The sequence below is a fragment of the Homo sapiens genome, chromosome 12, assembly GCF_000001405.40.
Source record: "Homo sapiens chromosome 12, GRCh38.p14 Primary Assembly".
Lineage (NCBI taxonomy): Eukaryota > Metazoa > Chordata > Mammalia > Primates > Hominidae > Homo > Homo sapiens.
Window position 1 is genome coordinate 116,921,474 of NC_000012.12, and position 17,495 is coordinate 116,938,968.

At 40.9% G+C, this 17,495-nt stretch overlaps 1 protein-coding gene across 7 annotated transcripts in view; it reads left to right on the forward strand.

Annotated features, from left to right (window-relative positions):
• The window catches only part of FBXW8 (F-box and WD repeat domain containing 8), a 120,199-nt gene that overhangs the window by 10,524 nt on the left and 92,180 nt on the right, over nucleotides 1–17,495 (forward strand). For all 7 annotated transcript variants that reach the window (XR_001748654.1, XR_007063065.1, XM_024448937.2 and 4 more), the window contains one exon: nucleotides 6,550–6,654. Coding sequence is in view for 5 of the 7 variants with exons in the window: in XM_024448937.2 (XP_024304705.2) it covers nucleotides 6,550–6,654 (105 nt within the window). In the remaining 2 variants the exon portion in view is untranslated. The remainder of the gene's footprint in view (nucleotides 1–6,549; nucleotides 6,655–17,495) is intronic.

A 17,495-nucleotide genomic window follows, 5' to 3' on the forward strand; every position in this document is an offset into this window, starting at 1 on the left:
TACCTTAGGGGACGATCTATATTGCCTGTTGTAGTCTCCTGTATTTCATTTTACGTGACAATGACTTACCTCTATAAAAGATTTTAGCTCTTTGAGTGTAGACCATTTCTTATATACTTGCTAACAGCACCTCCCTCCCCCTAGCACCTGGTGTGGCCCTGAATTTAGATAGTATTTTGAACATAAGTTACCTTACTTTAAAAATGTGTTGCTTTTCTGTGTCTGTGAAAATATCATGTGCTCACTGTAGAAATATTTAGGAAATTCAGAAGAATAGAAGAAAATAAAAGTCTTTAGTAATATAATTGCTTAGAGGCTACCATTGTTAACATTTTGGTGTATTTCTGACTTTTTTTTTTTTTTTTTTTTTTTTAGACAGGCTCTCTCTCGCTTTTGCCTAGGCTGGAGTGCAGTGGTGTGATCATGGCTCTGTAGCCTTGACCTCCCATACTCAAGCTATCCTCCCACCTCAGCCTCCTAAGTAGCTGGAACTACAGGTGCATGCCACCACACCTGGCTCATTTATTTTTATTTTGTCTAGAGACAGTGTCTCACTATGTTACCTGGGCTGGTCTTGAACTCCTGGCCCCTAATGATCTGTCTATCTCAATCACCCAAAGTGTTGGGATTACAGATATGAGCCACTGTGCCTGGCCTATTTCTGACTTTTTTTCTTTTTGTATATAAGAATATATATTTCGAGACAAATTGTGGATTATAAATGGATGCTTATTTATCTCGACTGCCTTTCAGACCTTTTTCCCCCAGCCAACCAGTTTTTTTCTTCTCAAAGAAGACACAGGTGAAACTGAAACTCATCTATTTCTTCTGATTGAGATTGTGTGGGTCTACTCCACTCAGCTTTTGCAGTACATGGAAAGTTGAGATAAACGCCTAAAGAAACTAGTTTCAGTCATAGATTTAGTAAAAATGTTATTGCAAATCTCTTCTTTGAACTCAAGGTGCTTTTCTCAGTTTCTTAAACCACCACCCAGAGAGATCTTTCATGTCCTCTTTGCCCTGGAGATGTACATTGGGAACAAAAACCTTAAGTCAGTTTCTTCACTTTTTACTGCTTTGGCTCTTAGTAATTATCTGTTCTTCTATTAAACAAGAGAAGACAGATTAAATTTCTAACAGTAAGGCACAAAACCAATCCATTTACAGAATTAGTCTTACATTAGCACATAGGAATACAAATCAGCCTCCCTGGGGATGGATCTCTTTGCAATTTCTCTCAGTGTTTTTGGAGTAAGTCCAGTAGACTTTGGGAAAATCTAGTATTCACTGACTTTAAATTAAATAAGTAATATGACCCCTTTGAGTGTGTGTGTGTGTGTTTTTTTTCCCTTGACTAGGAAAAAGGGGATGGATAGATTTTTATATCTGCCTATGATGTATGGTTGTGTTCTCAACTTTTAGTGTGCATGAGGATCGCCTGAGAAAGAGGTGCTTGAGGCCGGGTGCAGTGGCTCATGCCTGTAATCCCAGCACTCTGAGAGGCCAAGGCAGGTGGAGGCCGAGAGTTCGAGACTAGCCTGGCCAACATGACAAAACCCTGTCTCTACTAAAAAATACAAAAATTAGCTAGATGTGGTGATGTGTGCCTGTAATCTCAGCTACTTGGGAGGCTGAGGCATGAGAATCGCTTGAACCTGGGAGGCAGAGGTTTCATTGAGCCAGGATCGTGCCACTGCACTCCAGACTGGGCGACAGAGCGAGACTCTGTCTCAAAAGAAAAGGAGGTGCTTGAGCCCTAACCCTGGAAATTCAGGGCAGTAGGTCTTGGTAGGGCCCTTGGCATTTTTTTTTTTAAATTCCACAGGTGATTTTAATGTGTAATACAGGACGAAAGTCCCCAATAGTGGTAGAGAATCGATATCTGAGACATTGTCAAAGAATTAAAAGCAAGGTTGTATGTTATCAAACAGATACTTTTCCTTAACATTGAAGGAATACTAATATTTTGAATTTATTGGTTTCCTATAGAATAAATTTGGCCAGTCTCACATTGCTGAGAGCTATTCAACTACTGCAAAATTATTTTCTTTTTTTTTTTGTTTTGAGACAGAGTCTCGCTCGCTCTGTCACCCAGGCTGGAGTGCAGTGGCGCGATCTCGGCTCACTGTAAGCTCTGCCTGCCGGGTTCACGCCATTCTCCTGGCTCAGCCTCTCGAGTAGCTGGGACTACAGGCGCCTGCCACCACACCCGGCTAATTTTTTGTATTTTTAATTAATTAATTAATTTATTTATTTATTTATTTTGAGACGGAGTCTTGCTCTGTCGCCCGGGCTGGAGTGCAGTGGCGCGATCTCGGCTCACTGCAAGCTCCGCCTCCCAAGTTCACGCCGTTCTTCTACTTAAGCCTCCTGAGTAACTGGGACTACAGGCGCCTGCCACCAGGCCCGGCTAATTTTTTTATTAGAGACGGGGTTTCACCATGTTAGCCAGGATGATCTCCATCTCCTGACCTCGTGATCCGCCTGCCTCGGCCTCCCAAAGTGCTGGGATTACAGGCGTGAGCCACTGCACCCGGCCCAAAATTACTTTCTCTAAATATTGTAGCCATGTTGATATTTTTATAGTTTGACCAGATTTCTCTATTTTAATATTTCTAATGTCTTTAATTCCTTTTCCTTCTTCTTGGAATATCTTTGTTTCTGAAATGACAGGTTGTCCATTTTCATGTTTTTAAGTCAGTGTTGTCCATTTTCATGTTTTTAAGTCAGTGTAGAGTTGGGTTAACGTGGCCCATAACTTTTTGGATGGCTATGTGCTTCGCAGTAGTCTAGGTGGAACACTGATAGCATCTTTATTTATTTATTTTTAATGGACACATTATAATTGTACATATTTATGGGGCACGGTGTCATATATGTATACAATGTATATTGACCAAATCAGGGTAATTAATGTATCCATCACCTAAAACGTTTATTATTTGTGTTGTAAACATTCAAAATCTGTTCTTCTAGCTATTTGAAAATATACAATAAATTGTTGTGAATTATAGTCAACCTGTAGTGCCACAGAGAACCAGAACTCATTCCTCCTGTCTAGCTGCACTTTTATATCCATTAACCAACCTCTGTCTGATAGTGTGTTTTAGATAACAAGGTATTTCTCTGCACACTAGTAGCAAGTAGTGTTTTTAACCTACATTTATGAACTGTGGGAAGTACCCAATCAGAGTGCCTAAGACATTCTGCTGCCCGACAGTAGTAGGATTTATGTGGTTACTAGACCACAGCTTTTGTCCAGGATGTGGCTTCATATCCTTGTCAGATCATGCACACTAATAAAAGAGGTGTGTTTTCAACCACAGGGCCAAATATGCTCACAACTCTGCCTCTTGTAAGGTGTTTCTCAAATGATATTTCCAATAATAACAAACTGAAGTTGATGAATTAGTTACTAAACCTTGAATTTACTCTGGTTTGTCTGGTGGAGTGATGTCACTCATTTACCTGCATTCTAGTATCCTCCTCAAGTAGGGGAGAGGAAGTAGCTTACCTAGACTAATGTCTCTGGAGGTGTGCTTAAGAAACCTTGGGAATATATTGAACACAGGACTATCGTGGGTCATGTCTATCACTTTGGTTAAAAAAAAAAAAGATTGAACTTTTCAAAAAATAGATTCTGAAATGGAGATTTGCATGTAGGTGGTTTAGTGGGTTTTCCTTTCAGAGAGGTCCTGAACTGAGCAAGGGGGCCAGGCCTTTGTACCCAGCCATGGACTAGTCATTGGATACAGGCTGCCTTAGTGGGGTGGGAGGGGATGCAACCTGGGTGAGTCAGCTTGTTTGGCCAAAGGCATTGCCTAGGAAGGGACTCAGCTGTGAGTCAACAGCAGGCAGCATTTTCATCTAGGGGAATGAGTGGGACCGGAAGCGGGATCTGAGTGACCCACTGCAGTATCTATGGCAAGGACCATTGATAGAATATGTTGCCAGAATTACTCTAAGTGTGCGGCATGAAACTTGAGCATTTGGTCTCCTCACCTTGGAGGAGTCTACATATTTCTTAAGATATGGACCTTCCGTTAGTGTATTGGTTTCTTTTTTTTCCCTGCCATTTTCCAGTGGTTACCAACATGGAAGGTCATCTACATGAAAGTCTGGGACTTGATCTCTTTTGGAGTTTAGATCATAATTCTGAGAGCACAGTGACTTTTTTTTAAAAAAAGTTTGGCTGTGTAATGTCGTTTACAAAATTACAATTCAATGCTTTGAAACAGTGGTTGCCCTTCAGAACTTGTAAATGATCAAGAACCATCATAATGCATGCATTAACAGTGAGACCAGCATGAGGTCTCATTTTTATTCTTAATAGCATACCTATTTCATAGAGTGGTTATATCTCTTTTACAGATGAGAAAGCACAGATGCACTTAGCCTGGTGGCTTGTTGGTAAGGTGACTGAACAGGTGTATCAGTTTGAATCTTTGCTCTGAACCTCCATGCTGGGTTGCATCCCAGGGATTATGGTGGTTGGGATCAAGGATACTGGTGGCAGGGCTAGGGTGATGCCAAGATACGGGCATTGTCTTCCATGATGAGGATGGAGGCCAGGCCAGCTGAGTAGGCAAAAGACAGAAGGCTCCTGTTACTAGAGGTAAGACTTTTCTGCACTAGAACAGCTAAAAACAAAGATGATGATGTCCTTTGCCTCATCAGAATAGCATCAAGTCCAGACACCAGTTCCTAGTGAGTCTTAAGTGGAACCAATTGAAGAAAGCAATGCCTGCAAGTCTCTAACAGTGAAAGGCTAGATGAGACTTCAGTTTCAATGAATGCGGGCTTTTCCTTGCCTTTGTTCTGGTTGTAGGAGGATAAGGAACATTTTTCTCTTGTTTCTTTACCAAGTAGGTAAAGTAGGCCTCTCCACAATGTCAAAATAATCCAAAAAAGAAAGCAGGAGGAAGACCACGATTGCAAATGAAAGTTTCTTCGTGAGTGTGGCTTTCCTTGGCAAGCAGTGACTCCCTCCAGTGTTGATTGCAGGAGTCTCAAGTTGTATCTGGGCCGAGAGAGAAAGTGATGCCTCTTTTTCTTGATGAGTGAAGCCAATTAGTTGTGGGAGGGGATGGAGCCTGACATTAAACCAATGACTTTCCATTATTTTTTTAGGCAAGCACCCCTGAGCCTTCTAATTACAATTGCAGATTTTTTTTCCTGTTTTTTTCTGTATGGTCAAAATTTCTCTCTTGATTTAACATTCTGTTCCTTCTCTTTGCCCACAGAGAGCTGTCAGCTCTTACTCTTTTTTTCCTCCAGAGATCCCTTTTGGCCTTCATCCTTTGCACTGTTTTTGCAGTTAAATACCACATTTCCTTTTTATGCTCTGGGCTGTCTTTTAGCCCCGAGACTTCTAGATGAACAGAAACTTCATTCCAGAAAAATCTTTACTGTGAGTCTTGGTAGGGTCTAAATCAGTGCTTGGACTCCCTTAAAAACATTGAGGTGATTTTTTTTTTGTTTTGAGACAGCAGCCTTGCAATACATAAGACCGCTGTATTTGAGTGGTGAATTAACAATTCGCTTGTAAGCAGTAAGTCACTGATGTCAGCCAAAGCTTATTAAAAATGGATTTTATTAAGCGAGTGCTGTTGGGACACAGAGTGAAGCTTTTCCTAGCTTTGCAGAAGCACATACCAAAGTGAGCTTTGGCAGGTGGATTGGGAACAGGCAGAGGGGTACATACATACATACACTTGGCTTTTTTTCTGTTTCACACTCATATTTCTTTGTGCTACCAGGATCGTCAATGACAGCCTTATCTCTCAAATAAAGCCCGTTACCTCATCTCTAATTGCTTATCCAAAGGCAGGCGAGCTCTGATTTCTCTGCATTAATAAATGACACCGAAGAAGAACTGCTTTGTTTGCACTGGCCCGCTCAGGTTAACCAGTGTAAGCCCCTGAGAGCATTAGGAAACCTTGCACTTCTCCAGTGGCCAAGGAGAGGTGGCGTTCATCTCCATCAAGAGCAGTGTCTACTTGTTTACTTTTTGCTCATGTTTATAGCCCTGTTCTTTTCCCAGTGAAAACCCCTTAGTGACCTAGAGCAGCTTTTCTCTAGCTGTGTGTGCTCACTCCCTTCCTAGTTGAGAGTAGTGGTGGTTGTCCTGGGAAGAGGGGTGGCCTCCCTGATTTCAAGCCTCACTTTCTTGGCCGCCTGCTGCTCACCTTTCCTTAGAGGTCAGGAGGCTTTCCACAGACCTTGACGGTGATTCCTGTGCCGTATACCAGGCTGGAAGATAGCACCCCTGCTGCTTTGTGAAGCACCATGGGAAATGGTCATATGGGTTTCCTAAGTGAATATAAGGAGTGAAGGCGTGTGGGGGTCAGAGAATGGAGGATGGCTGGCAGATTCTGAAATAGTTCCATGACTGCCTGGTGAAACAGTATGGATGCCTCCCTCCTGGGAAACAGCCTCATCTATCTTGTTACCACCTAAGAATATCTCTGGTCATTTAAAGGGCCTGTAAATTTGAGTTATTTTCATATCTAAAAATTATAAACTTCTTTCTTTTTTTTTTCCCCTCAGAATGAAATGAATGATGTGCCTTTCTTTGATATCCAACTGCCTTACGAATTGGCAATCAATATATTTCAGTATCTGGACAGGAAAGAACTAGGAAGATGTGCACAGGTAAGGTGTCACCAACAGATGTTCCAGATTTTCCTAAATGTGTGATTAAGGTATAGGACTCTCCGGGGTAATAGAAATTTACTCACAGAATTATAAACTTTGCAGAATTAATGAATTGGATGGCAAGTTTACTTGAAGGAAAGCCACCTTGACCTTAGAGGATTATGTTCCACATCACTACTCGGTGTGTATCTTTCTGTGACCCAAGAGCTCTTTTCTCCCTGCAGTCTGAGTTATGGCTGACCTGTGGCAGTGTGCTGGTGGCCGACAACTTGGTGCTAAGCCTTTATTGAGCTTGTCTGTGCTGTTAATGCACTCACAGTTTTTAATGCAAAGATGTGAGCCCTTGGTTAAATCGAGCCTGTTATTAGGTTGGTAGCTGAGGGGGTCAGCACGAGGACAGAACATGTTTTAGGTGAAGTCATGTTTTAGGTGTATAGTCCAAATTACCCTTTAAACTTTAGGATCTCACTCAGTGAGGTGCAAGGCAGGTGAGAACTGAGACCCACCAAGGGAATTACAGATCAATGTCACCCGTCTCACACTTACTCTGGGGCATATGCCTGTGGAGTGGAATGGTGGGAGATATCATTTAGGCCAAACTGCATTGTGTTTAGGAATCATGGGGGAATCTTGATAAAATGCAGATTCAGATTCAGGAAGTCTGCGGTGGGGCCTGACAGTCAACTTTCTTTTTTTTTGAGATGGAGTTTTGCTCTGTCGCCCAGGCTGGAGTGCAGTGGGACGATCTTGGCTCACTGCAACCTCTGCCTCCCAGGCCCAAGCAGTTCTCCTGCCTCAGCCTCCCGAGTAGCTGGGACTGCGGGCATGTGCTGCCATGCCCAGCTAATTTTTGTATTTTTAGTAGAGATGGGATTTCACTGGCCAGCCTGGTCTCAAACTCCTGATCTCAGGTGATCTGCCCGCCTTGGCCTCTCAAAGTGCTGGGATTACAGGCATGAGCCACCGCGCCCGGCCCCATTGATGGTCTGCTTTCTAAGCAGGGGATGCCAGTGTGGCTTTGGCCACACTTTGAGAGAGGCAAAGGTTTATGCCATTAACATCGTTCTCTTGTTCTCGTCTTTTTGGCCAAGAGTGTGTGATTGATTTTTCTTTTCTTTTTTTGAGACAGAGTCTTGCTCTGTCACCGAGGCTGGAGTGCAGTGGCGCGATCTCGGCTTCCTGCAACCTCTGCCTCCTGGGTTCAAGCTATTCTCTTGCCTCAGCCACCCGCATAGCTGGGATTACAGGCTCATGCCACCACATGCAGCTAATTTTTGTATTTTTAGTAGAGACACGATTTTGTCATGTTGGCCAGGCTGGTCTTGAACTCCTGACCTCAAGTAATCCACCCACCTCAGCCTCCCAAAGTGCTGGGATTACAGGCATGAGCCACTGGGCCTGGACTGATTTTTCTTTTTTTAAAAATTTCATTTTATTTTTTTAAATGGACAAATAAAGTTATATATATGTATCAGGTATAACATGATTTTTGAAATATCTATGCATTGTGGAATGGCTCAGTTGAGGTAACTAACATGTATTACCTCACATACTTATTTTCTGTGGTGAGAACACTTAAAATCTATCTCTTAGTGATTTTCAAGTATACATCATTAACTGAAGTCACTGTGTTGTACAGTAGAGCTCTGAACTTATTTCTCTCATCTAACTGAAATTTTGTATCCTTTGACATCTTTCCAGTGTCCCATCCTGCCCCGCCAGCCACTGGTAACCGCCATTCTACTCTCTACTTCTATGAGCTCAACTTTTTTAGATTCTACATTTAAGTGAGATCATGCAATATTTGTCTTTCTGTGGCTGGCTTATTTCACTTAACATAATGCCCTCTAGGTTCATCCACCATGTTGTTGTAAATGACATGATTTCCTTCTTTTTTTTTCTAAAGGCTGAATAGTATTCCATTGTGTATACATGCCACATTATGTATCATTTATCTGTTGATTCTGTATCTTGGCTGTTGTGAATAATGTTGCAATGAGCCTGGCAGTACAGAGATCACTTTGACAAACTGATTTCACTTCCTTTGGATGTATACCCAGCAACCAGAATTGCTGAATCATATGGTAGTTATATTTTTAATATTCTAAGGAACCTGTTTCCTTAATGGCTGTGCTAATTTCCATTCCCACTAACAGTGTGCAAGGGTTCCCTTCTCTCCATGTCTTTGCCAGCACTTGTTTTGTCTTTTTGGTAATAGCCATTCTAACAGGTGTAGTTTAATTTGCATTTCTCTGATGATTAGTATTGTTGAGCATTTTTAAATATACCTATTGGCCATTTGTATGTCTTCTTTTGAGAAATGTCTATTCAGGTCCTTTGCTCATTTTTAAATTGGGTTTTTTGTCTTCTTGCTATTGAGTTGTTTGAGTTCCTTATGTAATATTTTGGATATTAACTGCTTATGAGATATATGGTTTGGAAATATTTTTTCTCTTTTATAGGTTGTCTCTGTATTCTGTTGATTGTTTCCTTTGCTGTACAAAAGCTTTTTAGTTTGATGTAATCCCATTTGTCTGTTTTTGTTGCCTGTTCTTTTGGGGTCATATCCAAAAAATCATTACCTATACCAGTGTCATGGAGTTTTTCCCCTAAGTTTCTTTCCCATAGTTTTACAGTTTCAAGTCTTATGTTTAAGATTTTAATCCGTTTTGAACTTATTTTTATTTTTTTTATTGAGACAGAGCCTCACTCTGTTGCCCAGGCTGGCATGCAGTGGTACAATCGTAGCTCACTGTAGCCTCAAACTTTTGGGCTCACGTGATTCTCCCACCTCAACCTCCCGAGTAGCTGGGACTATAGGCTCACGCCAACATGCCCAGCTAACTTTTAAATTTTTTGTAAGGACAGGGTCTTGCTTTGTTACCCAGGCTAGTCTCGAACTCCTGGCTTCAAGTAAGAGTTCACTTCTTTATAATAGTGTGAGATGGGATCTAATTTCATTCTTCTGTATGTGGATATCCAGTTCTCACAACACCATTTATTGGAGACTTTTTTCCCCATTGTGTGTTGTTAGCACCTTCATTGAAAATCAGTTGACTGTAAATGCACAGGCTTATTTCTGGGCTCTCAGTTCTGTTTTACTGGTCTATATATCTGTTTTTATGCCAGTGACATGCTGTGTACATTGCTATAGCTTTGTAGTATATTTTGAAATGAGGTATTGTGATGCCTCCAGCATTGTTCTTTTTGCTCAGGATTGCTTTGGCTATTTGCAGTGTTTTGTGTTTTTATGCAAATTTTATCTTTTTTTTTTCCTGTATCTGTGAAAATGTCTTTGGAATTTTTATAGAGATTGCATTTCACTCACTTTGAGTAGTATGGACATTTTGATAATATTCTTCCAATCCATGAACATGGAATATCTTTCTATTTATTTGTATCATCCGTTTTCTCCTTAGTGTTTTATAGTTTTCAGCATACTGGTCTTTAGCTTCCTTGGTTGAATTTGTTCCTAAGTATTTATTTTTGGTGTGGCTATTGTGAATGGGGTTATTTTCTTGATTTCTTTTACAGATAGCTTGTTGTTAGTATATAGAAACTCTACTGATTTTTGTATATTGATTTTGTACCCATAACTGAATTTGTTTATTAGTTTCTTGGTGGAGTATTTAGGGTTTCCTATGTTTATGTTTATATTGTCTGTAAACAGGAACAGATTAACTTCCTCCTTTCTGCTTGGATGCCTTTTATTTCTTTCTGTTGCCTAATTGCTGTGACTAAGACTTCTAGTACTATGTTGAATGGAAATGGTGAGAGTGTGCATCCTTGTCTTATTCCTGAAGAAAAGCTTTCAACTTTTTACTAAGTATGACTTTAGCTTTGGTTTTGTCACATGTGGCCTTTATTGTGTTAAAGTACATTTCTTCTATACCTCATTTATTAAGAGTTTTTATCATGAAAGGATCTTGAATTTTGTCAGATGCTTTTTCTGCACCTGAGGTGATCACATCGTTTTTCTCCTTCATTCTGTTAATGCATTGTATTACATTTATAGATTTCTGTTGATTTTTCGTAAGTTAAATGGGTGTATGATTGCTAACCATTTGGCCTTTGATGGACAACTGTATTCTCTAGGAGACACTGGAGTATCCATTCTCCATAACTGCCAAAAAATTAGTTTGTTTAATGGTTAGCATTTTCATCCCTGGATTCTATACTGCATTTTACACAGGTGTTTACAGCTTCAAGAGCAAGGGTTTGCAAAATTCACTGGTAGGAAAACTGAACATAAAATTCAAAGCACCAGCAAGACTATGAAGTTCAGCATATGAAGGCGGTTTGAGAGTGGTGAAAACTGTACCCAAATTTAGACTCTGGAGCTTGCTACCTCCATGGCAGTTCAGTGAAATCACACATGATACAGGACCATTTAGACAGTTTATGGTGTTCTACTCTTTCTTTTTCTTTGACGGAGTCTCGCTGTCACCAGGCTGGAGTGCAGTGGCGCGATCTCGGCTCACTGCAACCTCTGCCTCCCAGGTTCAAGCTATTCTCCTGCCTCAGCCTCCCAAGTAGCTGGGACTACAGGTGCGCCACCATGCCCAGCTAATTTTTGTATTTTTAGTAGAGACGGGGTTTCACCATGTTGGCCAGGATGGTCTCCATCTCTTGACCTCGTGATCCACCTGCCTCGGCCTCCCAAAGTGCTGGGATTACAGGCGTGAGCCACTGTGCCCAGCCGTTCTAATCTTTCTTTGTGAAGCATTTTGCTTAATCGTTTTTCTACTTGAATATGAATTTGAAAGAATTTTCAATATTCTTGATTATTGTTGTTAGTATTGCTTAAGTGGGGGCATTGGCAGATATTTTTTGATGCGGAGTGTGTGTCTTTAGGAAATGATGGAAATTATTTAAAGGCTAAAATTCACTTAAAAAAAATGTGCTGAAGTGTAAACTGTGCTCAGAGCCTATGAGTTGCATTAAGCATGAGTACCTATATTGTTTTCTTTCCCCTTGGAAATTTGATTTGTTATATTCTAACTTTACACATTGGCCTGCTCCCAAGAGTTGAAAACAAGAGTGTAGCTAAATGAGGCCAATTCCTGGATTTCAGCCTGATGCTGTTAGCCGAAGTCTTGGAACAGGGTCTAATAGCTAGCTGCTTTACACAAAGTCAGCATTAGATGATAAAATCTTCATTCTTGATAGCGAGCTGCTGTTTAAGAAATCATTTCTTTTAACATTGCTTTTTGCTCCCCTGCTTTGTAGAGAGCCATGTGGCTTTCACATCTGCTGCTGGTTTTCTCATCCAAAGAGTTTATCAGAGAAAGATAGAATCTAGTGGAAGAAGAGATCCCCTTTTGGTACAATGGGGCTGCATTACAGGGTAGATTGGTTATGCTGGTGATATTATTCTGCAGGTGTGAACAGTTTAATTTGCAACACAGTAGTCCAATTGTCCACCAGAATTCTTCCCTCTATGGCCAGTTGGATTTGGCTTTTTGTTGTTGTTGTTAACCCAGTTGTTAGAGCACATATATAAGAATAGAAAATATTCTTAAACAGAACCCCGTTAGCGTACAGTGACTAAGTTAGCTGTGATCTGTGAAGTCAGGAGTTTTATGGAGCTCTTACATGAGAATGACAATAGATGGCCAGTAGTTTGTAGAATTGGCTTTGTTTCATCAATCATTAAAATTAAAACCACAAAGTAATAAAAATAAGTAGCACTTTCATTTGTTTCTTGGGGTGTTTTTATTTTGAAACAGGGAGGAAATCCTTCTGTGGAATGTCCTGCTGCTTTATGATTTTATTTTAGAGGGGCTTGCTTTTTTTCTCTCTCTCCATCTCTCTTTTAATCTAGGTGCCTTGGGATTTTAGTGAAATTGGGCCAGTTATGTGGAATTGGCACCATGAACTAAATGTATGCCCTTGGAGAAAACCTGTTTGCTTAGATCTTTATGCCAAATTGGTAACTGACTAACAGTAAGAAACTCTGTTACTGGGAGGCCTTTGAGATTTAATTATCCCACAAACCATGCCGGAGACTGATTTTGCTTTGACTTTGCCTCCTTTCCATATCCCCTCCTCTTTTTTTTGCTTTTGAGGCTTTATGTTTTGAAAACTGAAGTCCTGCTACATTAGTTTGTGATCTGTGTGTACTTTTGATGCTGAGGTCTCCAGCTCCTTCCTTTCAATAGTTGTCCCTCGAGGGACTTAATCTCTCTGTGGGAGTGTTTCTTGCCGAAACATCTTGAAAACAGTGTAGCTTTTAGTAAGCAAAGTTACTTGTTGGACAGTTCATTGAACAGGTTTGTAATCTTGCTATTTATAATTTTATGTTCATCTTTTTTTGTGCCCACAGGATTCCTGGTATTTAAAGGAGACAATTTTTTAGTCGATAACAATGATACAGTTGTTGGTTTCAAAATTACAAATTGGTTTTTAGGAGAAAAGTAAGTCTGCCATTATATTACAGTGTGAATAATTCTGAGGAGTGATGGCTTTTAGGTATTTACCAATATTCATTTTTTAAACTTTAAAAATTATTATAAATTCATAGGAAGTTGCAAAAAATAGTACAGAGAGTTCCTGTGTACCCTTCCCCCAGTTTCCTCCATTGGTAATATCCCGCATAACTACAGAACAGTAGCAAACCAGGACCTGACATTGGCACAATTCACAAATCTTGTTGATGTCACTAGTTTTACATGCACTTATTTGTGAATCTATGGAACTTTACATGGATGTAGATTTGTGTGACCACCACCGCAGTCAACATGTAGAACATTCATCACGAGAATCTCTTGTGCTACTCTTTCACAGTCTTTGACGGCCACACTGGCCTCAAGTCCTTCCCCGACCCTTTCACCCCCAGCTCCATCTCTAACCCCTGGCAACCACTGATCTGTTCTCCAACTCCATAATTTTGTTTTCAGTTTTTTAATGTATATTTTAGTGCTTTGTATTTCCTAATATGTAATTTTAGGAATTTAGCTGCATAAGTAATGATGTCATGTTTATCAAGTAAAAGATAGAAAAACGTGCATAAACAAAGTAATAAAGAAAAAGAGGGAAGATGCAGAGGTTAAAAACTTGAAATTTATGATAATATTGGTGAGCAAGAAGTAGTTGACAGCAAAATAAATAAGTAATTCTAGAACCAAAGACCAGCATATTAGATTATGGTATTTCAAGTTTCAAGGAAAATGTGATTTTATGTCCATGTAGGAGAAACTAAAATCCAGGTGCTTATAGCTAAAGATCTATAATCTTAATGAAGTCTGTGTGAGTCAGGAATCCATAGCCAAGTGAGGCTGAATTGATTTTCCTGGCAAAAGTGATTCTGCAGACCTGTAGTTGCTGGCAGGGTTCCCTTAGTTCTTCACTTTCACCCTTGCCGCCAGACTTCTCTTATCAGGAAGTTCTGTGGAAGGTTCCTTGTATGCTCAAGACCCAAGTGCCCTCAGGAGTTCCTTTTAATTCATGTGATTGTTTTGGCTGCCTCCTTTAAGCACAAATTTAGGGAAAGGCAAAATCACTCTAAAAAACAGATTGGGAGCTAGATGAAACAAGAATGGCAAATGAACATTGAGCTAAGTGGTGGGTACTTTGGAGTTCTTTATATTGTTCACTTTACTCTTGTGTGTTTGAACTTTTCCACAATTAAAAAGTTTACTAGAAAAAAAAGCATAAAGCAAAATAATACATGTGAATAAGAAGGAGCCTACGGAGGGCAGCACATGCCAGGAGCTGAGCTGTGTCTATGACCTTTGAGAATTAAAAGCAATGCTAATTTTTAAAAAAAAGTTGGACTTACACTTTTATCTCATTTGGTTATTTATATAGAGCTGACTATGTATGTGCGAGGTACTGTTCTATATAGTGAAGACAGCTGAGAATAAAACATAAAAAACCAGCTTCTCAGAGAGCTTCCATTGTATATACAATAAAGACATGATTAAATAGAGTTATCAGATGGCAGTGAGTGCTATGGAGAAGAACAAGACAGTAGAGGTGATATGGGGGTTGCACTTTTGAGTGGCCAGGGAAGACTTTGCAGAGAAGGTGAGCTTTGAGCAAAGACCTGAAGGAGGGGTGAAGGACACTGTGCAGATCTCTGGCAGAGTGGAATAGCAAGGACGAAGGACTTGAGGCAGACACAGCTGAAGCTCATCTGAGGCAGGGTGCGCCTGTTGTGTTTGAAGAACAGCAGGAAGGTCCAAGTGGGTGGTTGTCGTACGCTGAATAATGGCCCTCCCAAATATGCTGACGTCCTAATCCCTGAATCCCACCAGTATGTTACCTTTCATGATAAAACGCCCTTTGCCGATGTGATTAGGTTAAGGATCTAGAGATGGGGTGATTATCTTGGATTATACAGGTGGGTCCAGTGCATTACAAGTCTTGTAAGAGGGAGGCAGGACGTCAGGGAGGAGAGAAGATGCTGTGTTGCTGGCCTTGAAGGTGGAGGAAGGGGCCACAAACCAAGGAATGTAGGTAGCTTGAAGCTGGAAAAGGTAAGAAAACTGTTTTCTTTCTGAAGCCTCCGGAAGGAATGCAGCCCTGCCCACACCTTGCTTTTACACTTCTGGTCTCCGGAACTATAAGCGAATAAATCTGTATTGTTTTAAGCAGCTAAGTTTGTAGTAGTTTGTTAGCGCAGCCATAGGAGACTGATACGGGGATGTGGTGAGCAGAAGGATAAGAGGAGGAGAGGACTCAGGATGTGATAAGCGTTTAATCCATTAAAAGAACTCGAAGTTTTGTGAATAAGATGGGAAGCCTTTGGAGTGCTTTGAGCAGAGGGGTGACAAGGGCTGCCCTACGTTTAAAAAGGGACCATTTGGGCTGCTGTGTGGAGAATCGGTTGTTGGGGGACAAGGACAGCAGCAAGGAGACCAGTTAGGAGGCCACTGAAGTAATCCAGAGAAGAGGATGTGGTGCTTGGGCCAGGATGGCACCAGCAGAAGTGGACAGAGTCAGGATTGTGGATGGGCTGGATGTGGGGACAGAAGGAAGAGAGTCAACAAGGGCTCCATGGTGTTTGCCTTGAGCAACTGGAGGAATGAGTTCACTGTTTACCGACAAGTAGCAGACCATGGAAGGAGCATGTGTGGGTATGGGGGAAGATCACTCATTGGTTGTGAGGTTGAGGATGAGCTCTTCGTTGAGCTCTGGGCTGAAGATGGAAATTTGGAAGCTGTCAGCCACATTGATGGTATTTAAGGCCAGGAGACAAATGAGAACATTAAGGAAGTGAATGTAAATAGAGGAGGGGTTCAGGGATGGAGCCCTGGTGCTCCACAAGGATTAGAGGCCGTGGACATGAGCAGGGCCAGGCAGAGGACCGGGAAGGAGTTCCCTGCCAGGCAGGAAGAAAACCCAGATGTGTCGTTCCTTGGGACCATGGGATAAATGTTTTCCAGGAGGAGAAAGTGATCAAAGGTGTTAAGCGCTGTTGTTCATCAAGTAAGAGGAGGACTGAGAAATGACCATTGGGTTTTGCAAGTTGGAGGTCACTGGTGACCTTGACCAGGGTCAGTGGTGTGTTGGGGGCAAAAGCTAGTGGCTCAGGAGCAAGTGGAGAGAGAGGAAACTGAGACAGTGAGTGCATAGAGAGCTGTCTCTATGTGGTGTGTCCTCCCACAGTAGACTTGATGTGTGAACCTGTGAAGGGAACAATGAGACTTCCCCTCTGTGAGCCTTACTGGTAACCCTAATCCAGGCAGAGCTAATAAAGCTCATTTTTGAGCCAACAGCTTTTTTTTTTTTAATGCTGCAATTCACAGTGGTGCTATAAAGCAAAATGCTGGAGACACTTTTATTAGCAAGTCCTTGCAGCTGAGGCTCACTCGGTGGGGCTTTACTGAGCAAGGCCATTCCAACTCTGGTGTATTAAAGAAAGACCATTAGGCCTTTGGAAAATTCAGGCTTGTAAACTTGCTAGATTTCATAAAACTTAAGGAATCAAAACAATTAACAAGATTTCCTCTTGGTGGGACCCTTTAACATTTGCTTGTGAAAGTTTAACTAGGTCTTTTTCTTGTTGATTTTTTTTCCTTCAGAATTAAAAGTCATTTTTAAAACCTGTCATTTTTGTTCTCCTTTAAAAGAAGAAAGAAAAGCACCCTCCTTTTATAGTTTGCTAAAGAAATTGTTGACACATTTCTGTTTTTAATACCTAATTGTGGATACAATCCTGATCCCTTTTTGGAAGCAATTCTCACCTCTGCCTTTTTTAAGTCTCTCAAAGAGATTTTTTATTTGTTATCCAGGACTTAAACTTTAGCTTGAATATTATTTTCTACGGAATAAGCACTGTGACCCGGGGTTAGTGATGTGAATGATGCACCACAACATCAATTTTTTGGTCTCAGTTTTTCATCCTGTAACCCTGTTGTACAAATTTCAGATTGTGTTATTTAAAATGATTTGGCATTTTCCTTGAAACTGTTAGAAAAAGCTGCTTTCAGCTTCCAACATCTTTAAGGTCCGACATATTTGAGACTTCCTGAAAGTCCCATTGAAAAGTTTCCATTTTAAAGTGGTTGAGATTTGCACAGTCCTCATGAAAACTCATACAGAATGTTTAGTTTGAGATTTTCTAGTTTGTAATCATTGAGCACTGCCTTTGGATTTTCCTAAAGTGGGGATGATTCAGAGGCTCCATCCAACAAAACGAAGCTTGTAGCTCATTTTTGAACACATAATTTAAAAGATTGCTTCCCCTATTTGGGGCCAGTCTTGTGATCTAACCTGGGTGTAACGGCAGGGACCCCAGCATTTCCCTATAGCTTCCTCAGCCATGGAGAAGTAGCCCCAGTCTGGGTGCATCCATGGGATCTCTGTCACATGCCAAAGGTTTTGGTTTCATA